Source organism: Homo sapiens, chromosome Y, assembly GCF_000001405.40.
Source record: "Homo sapiens chromosome Y, GRCh38.p14 Primary Assembly".
Lineage (NCBI taxonomy): Eukaryota > Metazoa > Chordata > Mammalia > Primates > Hominidae > Homo > Homo sapiens.
The window spans coordinates 22,020,856-22,033,618 of record NC_000024.10 but is presented as its reverse complement, the minus strand read 5'-3'; the positions used below and the strand labels follow the sequence as shown (position 1 = coordinate 22,033,618).

The window sequence follows — 12,763 nt, the reverse complement described above, 5'->3', positions numbered from 1 at the left end:
CAAAGAGAATTAGGTCCTAATCCTCGAGGATTAACTCCTCCTGTAAAAGATGAGGAATGCACCATTTGGCAAGTTGGGTATCGCTGGATAATAGCTTTCACTTCTTTCCAGATAATGCTGTACTGTGTTTGAGACCAAAAACATTAACATGGGTTGAATTGTGAAAGTGTCTGGCATTAGATATTGTAGTAGCAACTGGCGGATCAGCCATTTGATTCCCTGCAGTCAAATGTCCTGGAGGAGGTTTATGAGCTCTAATATGAGTAATGCAAAAAGGGTTCATTCTACTTCTAGCTGCTGTGTGTAATTGGGTAAATAAAGTCATCAGTTGCTCATCTGTGTGGAATCATAGCTGAGCATTTTCAAGTAACTGTGTAGAATGAACCACATATGAAGAATCAGAAATCACATTTATAGGCATACTAAAACAAGTCCATACCTCAATTACAGCTGCAAACTCCACCTTTTGAGATGAAATATAGGGCATTTCCTGAGCTGGAAATGCCCTGGTTTAGAAAGCGGACTGGGACGGCCCCTCCTGGCATTTCCCAAAATCAGGTTTCCATCTTTATCAAACTTAGAGTGACACTGATTATCCGAGTAATTTTCTTTTTGCATTTTGGACATATTCCAGGCTCAGCAGTTTTCCTTTTATCCCTCAACTTGTGGCCTGACTCACTGATTTTTTTCACATTCTTTTCCAGTGTGACCATGCTTCCCACAGTTAAAACAAGCTCCAGGAAATGGAGTATTTCCTTTACCCACTTTCAGTCCTGTCATGGCTTGCACCACCAAAGTAGCTTTATGCAGATTACCTCTGATACCATCACAGGCCTTGATATAGTCAATTAAATGTGCTTTCCCTCTAATAGGTCACAGAGCCACCTGGAAATATGGATTTTCATTGTCGAAAGCTCATAACTGCAACATTATATCCTCAGCAGCTAAATCTGCAGTCATTTTTTAAGAGACTCCTATAACCAAGCTATAAAATCTGCATATGGTTCTTTTGGTCCCTGTTTTATAGCACTAAAGGAAAGATATTGTTCTCCTCCTGAAGTTATTTTTCCAAACTCTAATGCATACTCCTCTAAGCTGTTCTATGGCATCACCCAGCATGACCACTTGTGCATCCAAACCAACGCAGCTGCCTACCCCCAAAAGATGGTCTGTAGTTATATTAATTTGAGGTTGGGCCTGCGCATTGTGAGAAGGCTGAAAAAAGCTTCTTCTCCTCACCAAGTTTTAAACTGTAAAAAGTGAGCGAGAGTCAGGCAAGCTCACGTAAGAGCATCCCATTCAGTAGGAATCATCTGACTGGGGACAGCAACATTCTTTAACGGTACCATTACCAAAGAAGAACCTGGTCCATATTGATTAATAGCTGGTTTAAATTCTTTGAGTAATTTAAAAGGAAAAGGCTCAAAAGTAGTGATAATATTTCCCTGTTGACCTGGGGCATGTATCCTAACAGGGAGCTGCCAAGCCTCTATATCACCCTCTCGTCTAGGTTGCTGAATTCCTGCCTGAATAGAACGAAGAGCAATTGCTCATGGCACTGCTTGAACAATCATGGGGCAACTAGTTTTTGGTCAGTGGGTTCCAGAAAAGAAAGATCTACAGGGTCAGACCACTCTTTTTCTTCAAAATAGTGAGGGAGTGAAGAAGGGCAGAGACAAACCTCTCTCTCCTTTGCCACTTTAGCTTTAGCTGGCAAACAAACCTATTCTGTCACCTCTTCTGTTACTTTGCTATACTCTCCTTCCTCCTAATCATCAATGTGAAAATGTTCCAAGGTGGAACAAACCAGAACCTGGACTTGTCCCATTGTTAACCTGATGCTTCCAAACTCCCCTTCTAACTCACTATGGCGATTGCTTAAGAGTAGCCAGATGTCCTCCAGTGTAGTCCTACATTCTCCAACCATTGCTCCGGTGACCTTTGACCTGGGTTTGAGACCCCGTATAGTCACCACTTGCCGAGGCCAGCTCGGTCATGGAAACCATAACCCAATGGCACTAGCGGCATTAAAGACACACACACACACACACACACACACACACACACAAATATAGTGTGCACAGTGAGAATCAGGGGGCTAACAGCCTTCAGAGCTGAGAGCCATAAACAGAGTTTAACACACATATTTATTGACAGCAAGCCAGTGATAAGCATTGTTTCTATAGATTACAGATTAACTAAAACAGGAGACAAAGGATGGGCTCTGGCTAGTTATCTGCAGTGGGAAAGTGTCTTTGAGGCACAGATCGTTCATGGTATTATTTGTGGTTCAGGAATACCTTCAGTGATTTTCTGCCCTGGGTGTGCCAGGTGTCCTTGGCCTTCATTCTGATAAACAACCTTCATTGTAGTCATCATAGCAATCAGAAGCATGTCACAGTGCTATAGAGATATTGCTTATGGCCAGTTTTGGGGCCAATCTATGACCAGATTTTGGGGCCTGTTCCCAACAAAGCCTTTATAATATATGTAAAATAGCCAATGATTTAGAGCATATTAATAATATAGATCAATGAAAAAATTATAAAATACATATCCTACCCTTCAAAATAAAACAAAATTGGGAAGACTTCCAGAAAATATAAGCAAAAATGTGTTCTTCCTCAAATGCTGAAGGGTTATAGTAGAAAGACCTTTGTCAGAGATTTTATTTGTTAAGTGACAAATGATTTAATAGAAATCAAGCGTTTATTTTTCAGTTCACTGGAGCAAAGTTAAAAGCTGCAAAAACAACTCCTATGAAAGCCAGAGCTTCTAAGTGTAAGATAAAATTTTAAAAAAGAATAACACACTGACTATCAAGAAAAGAAACATCCCTGAGGTTTGGACTCCAGCAATATTAGTGTGAGATTAAACCTGACAGTTCATTGATACAGTAAACTGAGGAGTAAATTTAGATATATTTTCAGGAAAGAGACCATTTCTGTGTCCAGTGGGGTTGGGCACCCTGCCTAAATAATTGGTGGAAGAAAGCATGATTCAGACATTTTGGTAAAATACTTAAGTCAGTACAGAGAGTCATGTCTCACAGATACTAGGATCTAACACAGAATGAGGTTTGTATTCAAATACATGAGAGAAAGATTTATATCTCAGCCTCTATCCTGTGGTATATTCAAGACTGAGGTTAGATTTTTTCATGTTGCCTACAAAATATAAGGTCCCCAAAGGCAGAAATGGGTATACAATACTAGATTGAACAATTAACCTAAAAGGTTAACCTAAAAAGGTTAACACAAAACTGCCCCACTAAGAATCACTTTACACTCAAGAACTAAAGATTGCTTTATCACTTCACAGACGACATTAACAATTCACAGATGGATGTTCCATGTCCTAAGGGGTAGCAAAGGAAGACACACTTAATGGTCATACTCAAGGATAAAAAGTTGAATCAAAAAAGTCTTCATAATGAGTAGGTTTAGGAGTTCTCTGAGATGAAGAAATGGAATCTAAAGGAAAAAAGATGTGGGTAGGAGGAAAAAAATAATCTTTTTTAAATAGACAATTATACATTATTGAAAAATCAACCATATATTAAAGGAACTCAAATAATATTTTGTTTGTTTGTTTCTTCTGCAGTAGACCCCGAACAAGTACAGTAGGAAAAGTACTTTCCTATGTTGATCTGTAGTAAGTTTGCCAGGTGCAGGGACATAACATTTCAATTTAAAATTTGATTACTTTTTGACAAACAATAAAGAATTTGTTTTCAGTATGAGCCTGTCCCATGAGATAACGAGAATTTTAGTAAGTTACTAGAATATTGAGAATTATACTAAAATGCTATTTGCTTATTTAAAATGAAAATATAACTGGTAATCCTGTATTATATCTGGTGACCGTAAATGAAACAGAAGTCAGGAAAGTGGAACTCAGTGGTGGAAGGTTTTATATACATTTACAAGAAACAAAAGAAGACAAAAATATACAGAAAGGGAAACACACAGATTTTGAAAATAATCTCTACAGAAAATATTTATCCACATAAATTATCATTTACTAGAAACATATTTTTAACTCTCAAAGATTATGCCAATATTAAAGACTTATCAAAAGACCAAGAGAAAGAAACATAAAGCTTATTTTATTTTAGCAAAGAGAAAAATAAATCTCAAAATAAAAGAGGTAGGCAGGAAGTTTTTGTTTGTTTGTTTGTTTTGTTTTCTGAACGGGGCTAGACATAGGTTTTACTTTGTTTAAAAAATGCTATTGAATTTTTTTAATTTGATTCTTTAATTTTTTTAATTTGATTTTCTGATTTTTTTAATTTGATTTTTGAATTTGATTAACTACAGAAACTGTAGAAATTTGGTGATTAATGTCAAAAGCACAAAAAGAAAAAAATACGAGTAAGAAAAGTAAATGAATACAATTAGAAAAACAGGTGACGGGTGGGGAAAGGGAGAGAAGAACAAAGGCAGATAGGAGGCAAAGGCAGAGCCAAAGAAAATCTAGGGTAAATGAAAAACTGACTGAGCAGGTGTTAGTTATTTAGATAAGAGAGTAACCATATTAGATGTAAGCTGTTTAAACTCATGTGTTAAAATATAAAATACTCTACCGTTAGATTGATAAAAATTTGCTTTCACCTAGGAATAATCACACTGAAATATTGAAAATAAGGATTTAGAAAAAATTAACAAGTATTTATCCAAAAAAATTAGGCCACTGTTATTATATAAGGAAAATGAGAATTTTAGAAAAAATGCAAGGAATAAAGATGGAGAACTATAGATGCAAGGCAACAGACAAAATATGAAACATCAAAATATTAAAAAATTTTAAAGATAATATAACAGTCACAAACATAAATTCCTCAGTAGCATTATCACAATATACATCTGAGGCAAATTTTATGAATATCTATTTATATAGACAAGCCCCAATTGTAGTGAGATGTGTTATATATGTGACTCATCTAGACTAATGAGTATACAGACATTTAGTCATCAATAGAAACACTTTGCAATGTTTGTGTACTTACTTTTCTTCAGTTTCAAAATGTGAAGCCAAGTAGTAGAGCATGTTTTCAGAATTTCACAGCTCTGCAATAGAGCAAATATTAATACAGAATAACACTTTTCCCCTTCAACGTCAACTCCATCTAACCTAACTAGCATGATGCTTTGCCTTCTCACATGCTCTCTAGACATCCTACTCACCCTTCTTTTCTAGATCCACATTCTCATGATACTGTCTTCTAACAGAGCTTACTTGGATGCCAACACAATGCAGGCTTGTGAAGATACCCAAGCAAAGAAGGAACAGGAACTGCAAGATATCAAGTCGTAGTAAAATGAATAACTCAATTCTTACACATAAATATTTGGCAGAGTGTTTCAGCTGAAGCATTTACAGCTCTGACAAATCATCACATGGCTGCTCTGCAGTAAACATATGTATTCCACCAAACTAATGTAAATGTTCAAATACCTCACTTTCTATCTCAAGCTACTGGGATGTATCTCCAAGGAAAACTTCCCAGTGGTTAAATCTTTTTATTCAGAAAAAATATGAGAGGTTTTAAGTTAGCAATTTTAAAAGGCAACCCTTTGTTAAAATGATTGTTCATACTCCGGAAATTTGTGGCATGTTCACATTTGTTGCTAGAGCAGTTCTATTAAGACACTCATTGGAATATGTGATGCTTCTTGATAGGGACCTGTAACATGCCAGCTTTCAAGGGATGAGACCACGAATTCACATATACGCCATCTATCCTCAAATAACTGCTATCTACATAGGAAATAAAATGGAATAGGGGTGAAGTTTCAATTCTTAGAGCTGGCATTTATTAAACTTTGCCTCAAAGATAATGTGATTTTTATGACTGACTTTTCAAATTAGCTTTTCTTCCCAAGTCCAGGCTCCCTTAATTTCCTCAGCCAATAAGAAAATATTTTTCAAAAATGCAAAAATTAGCAACAATTATGCTGACTCCACTACAGAAGAATTTGGATTCTGACTCATTGATTAGCTTTCCAAATGCAATTTTATAATCTACTCCTAACAGATCTGGATTAAGACTCATTCACAAGATTTCCAAAAGCAATTTTTTAATAGGTTATATTCCAACAACATACTCATCCATTTTTCATTATCCTTGGGATAAAAATGTCAGCTCCATCTTAAGGAGGATATGTTTAAATTTCTAAGAATTTGTATCACAACCACAGACCCAAATATGTTTCATGTAATTTTGCTCCATAAATATTTTTCTTAAATAGAAAATGTTACTTTATTAAAATGACCCCCCAATTTTAACCATTTCAGTGGTCTAGTTAAACAGTTTCATACCAACTCTCTAAAACCTAAATTTAAACTGACCATAGGCCACTAATCTCTTACTTTTATAGACTCGAAGACAGAATTTAAATTAGGTTTAGTATTTATTTGTTTAATCTAAATCTTAGTTTCCTGGAATAATAAAGTTTGATGTTTAGCAAGAAAAGTACTTGAGTTTAAGCCAGTTTCAATACAAGCTTGCCTTCTGCATTATTATTGAGTAGCAGACATTAAGTGACTATAGTTACTGGGTATTAGTGATGGTAAACTTTGTGTTTTTCATTATGAAATAATCTGTGTAACTGTTGGGTATATCAGTGCTTTCAAATGTGCTGCTTAGAATAGGATTAACTGTAAATTCATGTCAAGAATTAACTTGTGATTTGGCTGTTTCCTGAATTTTATAATATACATGTGCAGAAATGTATTCAAAATTGAGTAAGGAAGCACACCTCTATCAGCATGCTATTAAACTTGAACATCAAGTATCATATATCGGTAGAGTTTTGGGGGTTTTTTTATTATTTGGGATTTTTTTTTTTAATTGAGAGAAGCTCTCTTCTGTGCAGAATGGCTATTTCAAAGTATCTCACTGTTTGTTTTCCTGTTCCATGACTATTTTTTCCAGCAGTGGTGATGCATTGAAGTCCAGTTTTCTAGAAGGGGAGTGTCTCAACCCTAATTTTACTTTTCTAATTCTGGTAGCTGCAGGAATTTTTGAAAGTTTTGTTTAAGTAGTCTAATATTTTTTATGTAAAGAGCATTAAATTTTGCTGTGTATAAATTGTCATAATCTAAAAGTGAATCAACATTTTCAGTCCTTGAATCCTAGAACTTTTGGGAGGCCGAGGCATGTGGATCATGAGATCAGGAGATTGGGCCCATCCTGACTAACACGGTAAAACGCAGTCTCTACTAAAAACACAAAAAATTAGCCGGGCGTTGTGGCAGGTGCCTGCAGTCCCAGCTACTCCAGACGCTGAGGCCAGAGGATGGCGTGAACCCGGGAGGCAAAGCTTGCAGTGAGCCAAGATTGCACCAATGCTCTCCAACCTGGGCAACAGGGCAGACTCCATCTCAAAAAAAACAAAAAAAAAAAAAAAAGAAAAAACTTCCGTCAGTGCCCAAGTGCCAAGCGCTTCCTATAGTTCTAATCAAGCGTTACAATAAATACTTGTAGAAAATAGTCAATATTTATGCATGCTTATTTTGCTGACATCCATAAGTGGAAATAGTTGTAGATGTACTAAGAGTAATGAAGTAATATTATAGCTTCATTTACTTGCCTTTTTACTATATATAAATCTATCTTTGTCCCCAGTATGGTGTCACATTTGAATAATGTGCATAGTAAAGATTTCATGTTGTTATAAAAATCAAGTCTGTGAGTGCTACTTGTTTTATTTTTGGCAAAAATCTCTTCAGCAATTTAAGAAAATATTATAATCCACTGGGCTGTATTGGGCATAAAAGTGCCACTAACACTTCTGTAGTTCTCTGTATAAAGTTATATGTTTTATGACCAGTTTTGCAACAAATAAAATCTATCTACCAGTAAGATTAACAAGGCTTAAACTTGGGCAAAGTACAACAATAAGTTTCCCTGTGTAGTTGGTTATTTTTTCAAATCAATAGTACAAAATTCTATGGAAAGGTTTACTCAGGAATATATATAAAAAAAAAACCTGGTTCTAACAGTTACTCTCTAGAATAGCAGAGCTAAATATGTTACTCAGGATTTTATTTAATAATCTGTTTGAACTCCTTATCTGTCAACATGATTCTAAATTTGGGTTCTCTGCATCTGACATTTCTTAGTGCCTCATAGTCTTTATCACTATTGACACATGGCCATCTCTAATTCAGGTTCTGACTCTGGATCATCTCCTTTCATTCATGCATGGCAGGAGAAGAGTACACAGTTCAATTGGTGTACTATTTGTCACACTACATACTACCTTCTGTTTAAGTAACAATTTGTGCAATTATTTAATTCACACAAATCAACAGAGGAAAGTGTAAGTAATAGATAGGATCACCAGAAGTCTCTAAATTGTCAAAAGTGATCTTGCCACCTGGGAAGGAACCCTATATTTATAAACTAATGAAATACTTGAAGCCAATTCATGAAGTATTATGACCAAAGTTTCCACAATAAAGATGCTATCTCAGTATCTTCCTGTTCCTATAACACAATACCTTAGACTGGGTAAGTTATGAAACCAGAAATATGTTTCTTACAGTTTTAGAGGTTGGGAAGCCCAAGGTAAAGGCACTGGCAGGTTCAATGCCTGGCGTAGGCCTAGTTTCTGCTTCCAAGATGGTATCTTGTTGCTGTGTTCTCCAGAGAGGACAAATAAAGTATCCTTAAATGGTGGAAGGGCAAAAGGGCCCAGTTATTTCCATTAAGCCCTTTTATAGGGTTGCTAATTGCACTCTTAATTGCCTCCAGAAGCCCCCACCTTTTAATTCTATCACACTGGAGGGTTTAACTTCCAACATATGAACTCTGGAGGGACACACACATTCAAACCACAGGTATTAAATGTAAAGATCAGAGGCAATATTGTACTATTCATAAAGCCTAGGAATTTCTGTGTGTTTTTATGTTCCGGGAGAAAACTGAAATGTGCCGGCAAAAGATGACCTCATTTTACAGATGGCAGTCCTTCACTGGAGAGGAAAGAAAATAGCTTAATCTTTAAAGAGTAGGCCTGGAGTTAATCAATATGATAGGTTATACTCATTTAAAATTTAGGAAATATAAGCTTAGAAAAACAGCTCTTTTTAGTGTAATGAATGAGAAATTCTGTGACTGGAGAAGCTGTCGAACATCTTCATTGATTCCAGAATCATCTTCTCTAAAACAGATGGGCATGAAAGCACAAAATACACAAACACATTTATAAAACATTTTAAGTGTTTAAAAATGCAGTACTATAATTCCATCGTGTATGCCAGTGAACTAATTTTTAAAATTGGAATCATTGCTATCATCAATGGAAAACAAATAGGTCATCTCAATGAAGGAAGTGATTAATTTCCCTCAAGTGTCCTGTGCTTCAGATTTGAATTAACCAGGAATCTAAGGAACATTCATATGTTGCTGTAATTCAAGCAAGACTTAGCAGGTCTATTAATTGGACAGATAAATTTATCTGCTAGGCCAGAATCAGAATATGGAAGGGAAGCAGAGAACCAGAGGAAGGAGGGAGGCAATGTATGCCCCTGGAAGCAACCTTGGACTGGCAGCCACCTTCACTGTTTGGTTCTTCTACAGCCAACTAGCTGACATTGACAGCCTCTTATTTCAGCTCTTTTTTAAATTTATTATTATTCTTAATTTTTTGTTTGTGTTGAAACTGAGTCTTGCAAATGGACGGCAGCCCTTCTTAGAGTTTCAGCGATTACTCTGATGTGGATCCTTTCCATATCTTTTACTCCACTCCTGATCTCTATACCTAGCCTCCCATCCACATTTCTGATAGTTTCTTTCCATACACATGTAGAAACTCCACAGCACCAGCTTCATCCCAGGAGTGATCATCCCAGTCCTTCGCTCATGAGCCATCTTCCATCCACCCAGTAACTAGCCCTGGCACATTCACACTCTCTGTCCTGTGGCTGCAAGAGGGGTCTTCCTCATCATCTGCCTGGAATACTGAAACAGCCCTGTCAAGGCTCTCTGTGAATTCAGTCTCTGCCTGCGAGAAACCTGTGGTCATCTGCACCAGGCATTCCCTGAGGGGAAGATTGTATCTCATGTACAGTGTCTCTGCTCTGGTAGAGTCCAATGCCATGGTATTCTGGGCTCTGATAATCTGCCTTTTTCTTTCCAGATTGATTTCACATAACACCACCAACATTGTACTACAAATGTTTCATCTGTACCAACCCATTTTCTGGGGTCTGACTATGGCTGTAGCTTCCTTGCTTGGCATTTGCCTTCACTATCTCCTCAGCTGGTGACATTTCCATTCTGTCATAAAGGGTGATATGCTGTTGGAGACCAAACTGAAATTCCAACTCTTCCTTATTTCTGAAGTGAAAAGTAATCACTCCAGCACATTAATTGTGCAATATCTTGTACCTGCTTCTTGAAAATATACACATACTTGTTTCTTCTGTTTCTATCTCTTCCAGGGAAGGCCCATATTTCAACAAATTGTCTGTTCCCTCTGCATCATGGCACGGGTCCCTACATCTCAAATGTTTAAATAGACCTCATTCTCAGAAACAATTATGCTGACCTTTCTCTTCCAGTTCTACCCATAACCTATTTTTTTATGAGTAAGCAATGCAAATATACAGAAGAATTTATAGGTTCACCAGAGGGTCATGAACCTTTTTGCTCTGCCTTGTTCTAAAGTCATCAGCAGGGACTGAGTTAGTTTCAAAAACAGGAGAAAAGCAACACAGTTTTTTCTCTGTCTCCACCCACCATCTCTTCTCAATCCTTCTCATGAAATTAAAATACCTTAAGAGACAGTTAATCATTTCTGCAAGTAGAAAGGCAACTTTCTGTGTGCTAGAAGAACAAGAAGAAAAAAGTTACTTATAAATGAGATTGCTTTCTTATATGAAATAGTAATTTCAAGATAGTAATATTATTTAAGCACCTCTTTATTAAGGAAGAAAGGAAGCAAAACTACTTCACTGCTCTGGTTTATATTTTGTACCTACGTGGTGGAATACTGAAACCTCTTTGGACACAACGGAAAGAAATGAAGTATGTCCATTGTGCCCCTTGCATCAGAGAGAGCATATTTCAGCCTTTTCAATTTCCATTGAGGCTAGAAGAAGTGAAATGATGAATATAAAAAATTCTCAGTAACACCAATGTTACTCACTATGCTGCTTAATAATGTTTTTTTATATTATTATTATTATTATTATTATTATTATTATTGAATCTCACTCTTTCACCTAGGCTGGAGTGCAGTTGAGCAGTCAGCTTAATGCAACCTCCACCCCCTGGGTTCAATTGATTCTCCTTCCTCAGCCTCACAAGTAGGTGGGATTACAAGCCCATGACACCATGCCTGGCTAATTTTTGTATTTTTAGTAGAGATGGTGTTTCACCACGTTAGCCAGGATGGTCTCAATCTCCTGACCTCATGATGCACTCATCTCAGCCTCCAAAAGAGCCACTGCACCCAGTAAATAATTTCTAAATCCAGTATTATAATCTACATTCCACCTCAGAGGCAGAACACCAAGTTATTCAGTTGAATTCCTTTATCTTATTACCTTGTTTCAGTCCCTTTCCCAGGTCTGTGACAAATGGCTGCCGGTCAAAACTCCCTCTTGTAGCCATGGCCCCTACTCATCTGCTTCAGCCCAACTCTACTACAGTCTTGGGTAATGGTTTGCTGACCATCTGCCTCAGTGTCTAGAAATTCAGGATGACACGAGCTTGGTTTGATTCACTGTTGTATGATCAGCCCCAAGGAAACTGCCCAGCAGAGACAGGCTCTAGATCAGGTCTTACAGAGTGGTTTCCAAAACGCATTTATTCTGGAATAAGCAAAATCAAACTTCTCAAAATCCCTTGCCTCTTTAAGTAATTCTATATGTTACTGAATGCCATGACTATACCCAAGAAACTGCTAACCAGACATTTTGGAAATATTTTTAAGATGTATTTCCAATGTTTGGGAGGGAGTAAGAGGTGGCTTTCCTTGAGAAAATTACTTTCATATTTGAGGATGAAATACTTTGGTCCCAAAAGAAAAGAGCCTGGCTGTTTGCTCATCCCTGAAACAAAGGACAAAGCTCCCACTCTTGTGGGAATTAAGGGACAGGAGAGACCAATGGGTGGAACAGGAGGATTTTATTGGGCGTACGTTGACTTAGCGGAATAACATTTAAAGACTGAGCCCTGAACAAAGATAGGGCTTGACTTTCATACATGCAACTGAAGAGGGTTGGCAGCTAATGGCATGAAATCTGCAGGATGGGCAAGCAAGCTTATAGGAGTAGAATGAAGAGAGTTTTTAAAAAAAAGTGACAGGTGTTATAACTCAGGCATGTATCATGACTTTCAATTATATATGGATGGGAAAACAGAAACCTACAAAATTTTTGTCAACTTCCAGAAGTAGTTATAAAAGTATATGTGAGAGCACATCAAAGAATAATGGTATTGGGTGAGAGTACTATAGAGGGGAAACAGATAAGAACGTGTTATTTTCACTCCTGCTCCTGGAACCCATTCTTTACAGGCCCCATCTCTGCTGATAGTGCTATCAGAGCCCCAACAGGGCCTGGCTTATCCCTGGGTTTTTGGAGTGAGTCAGCTCAGTACACAGAATATGTTTTTTTTTTTAACATTCCCTGTTTCATTTCCACCTTTCATGCTTTTTGTAAATGAGGATTAATAGAGAGAATCACCTAGTAATTCTTCAAGGGGGAGCAGTTCCCTATTTGGCAGGGGTTGATGTTTAGTTAGAGC

At 37.0% G+C, this 12,763-nt stretch overlaps 1 long non-coding RNA gene across 1 annotated transcript; it reads right to left on the bottom strand.

Annotated features, from left to right (window-relative positions):
• Window positions 1-3,271: 3,271 nt before the first annotated feature.
• LOC107987356 (uncharacterized) lies at window positions 3,272-5,299 on the bottom strand. The gene is made up of 3 exons (XR_001756091.1): window positions 5,187-5,299; window positions 5,009-5,069; window positions 3,272-3,473 (listed from the first exon to the last, which is right to left on the bottom strand). It is a non-coding gene; the product is annotated as an uncharacterized LOC107987356 (long non-coding RNA).
• Window positions 5,300-12,763: the final 7,464 nt, after the last annotated feature.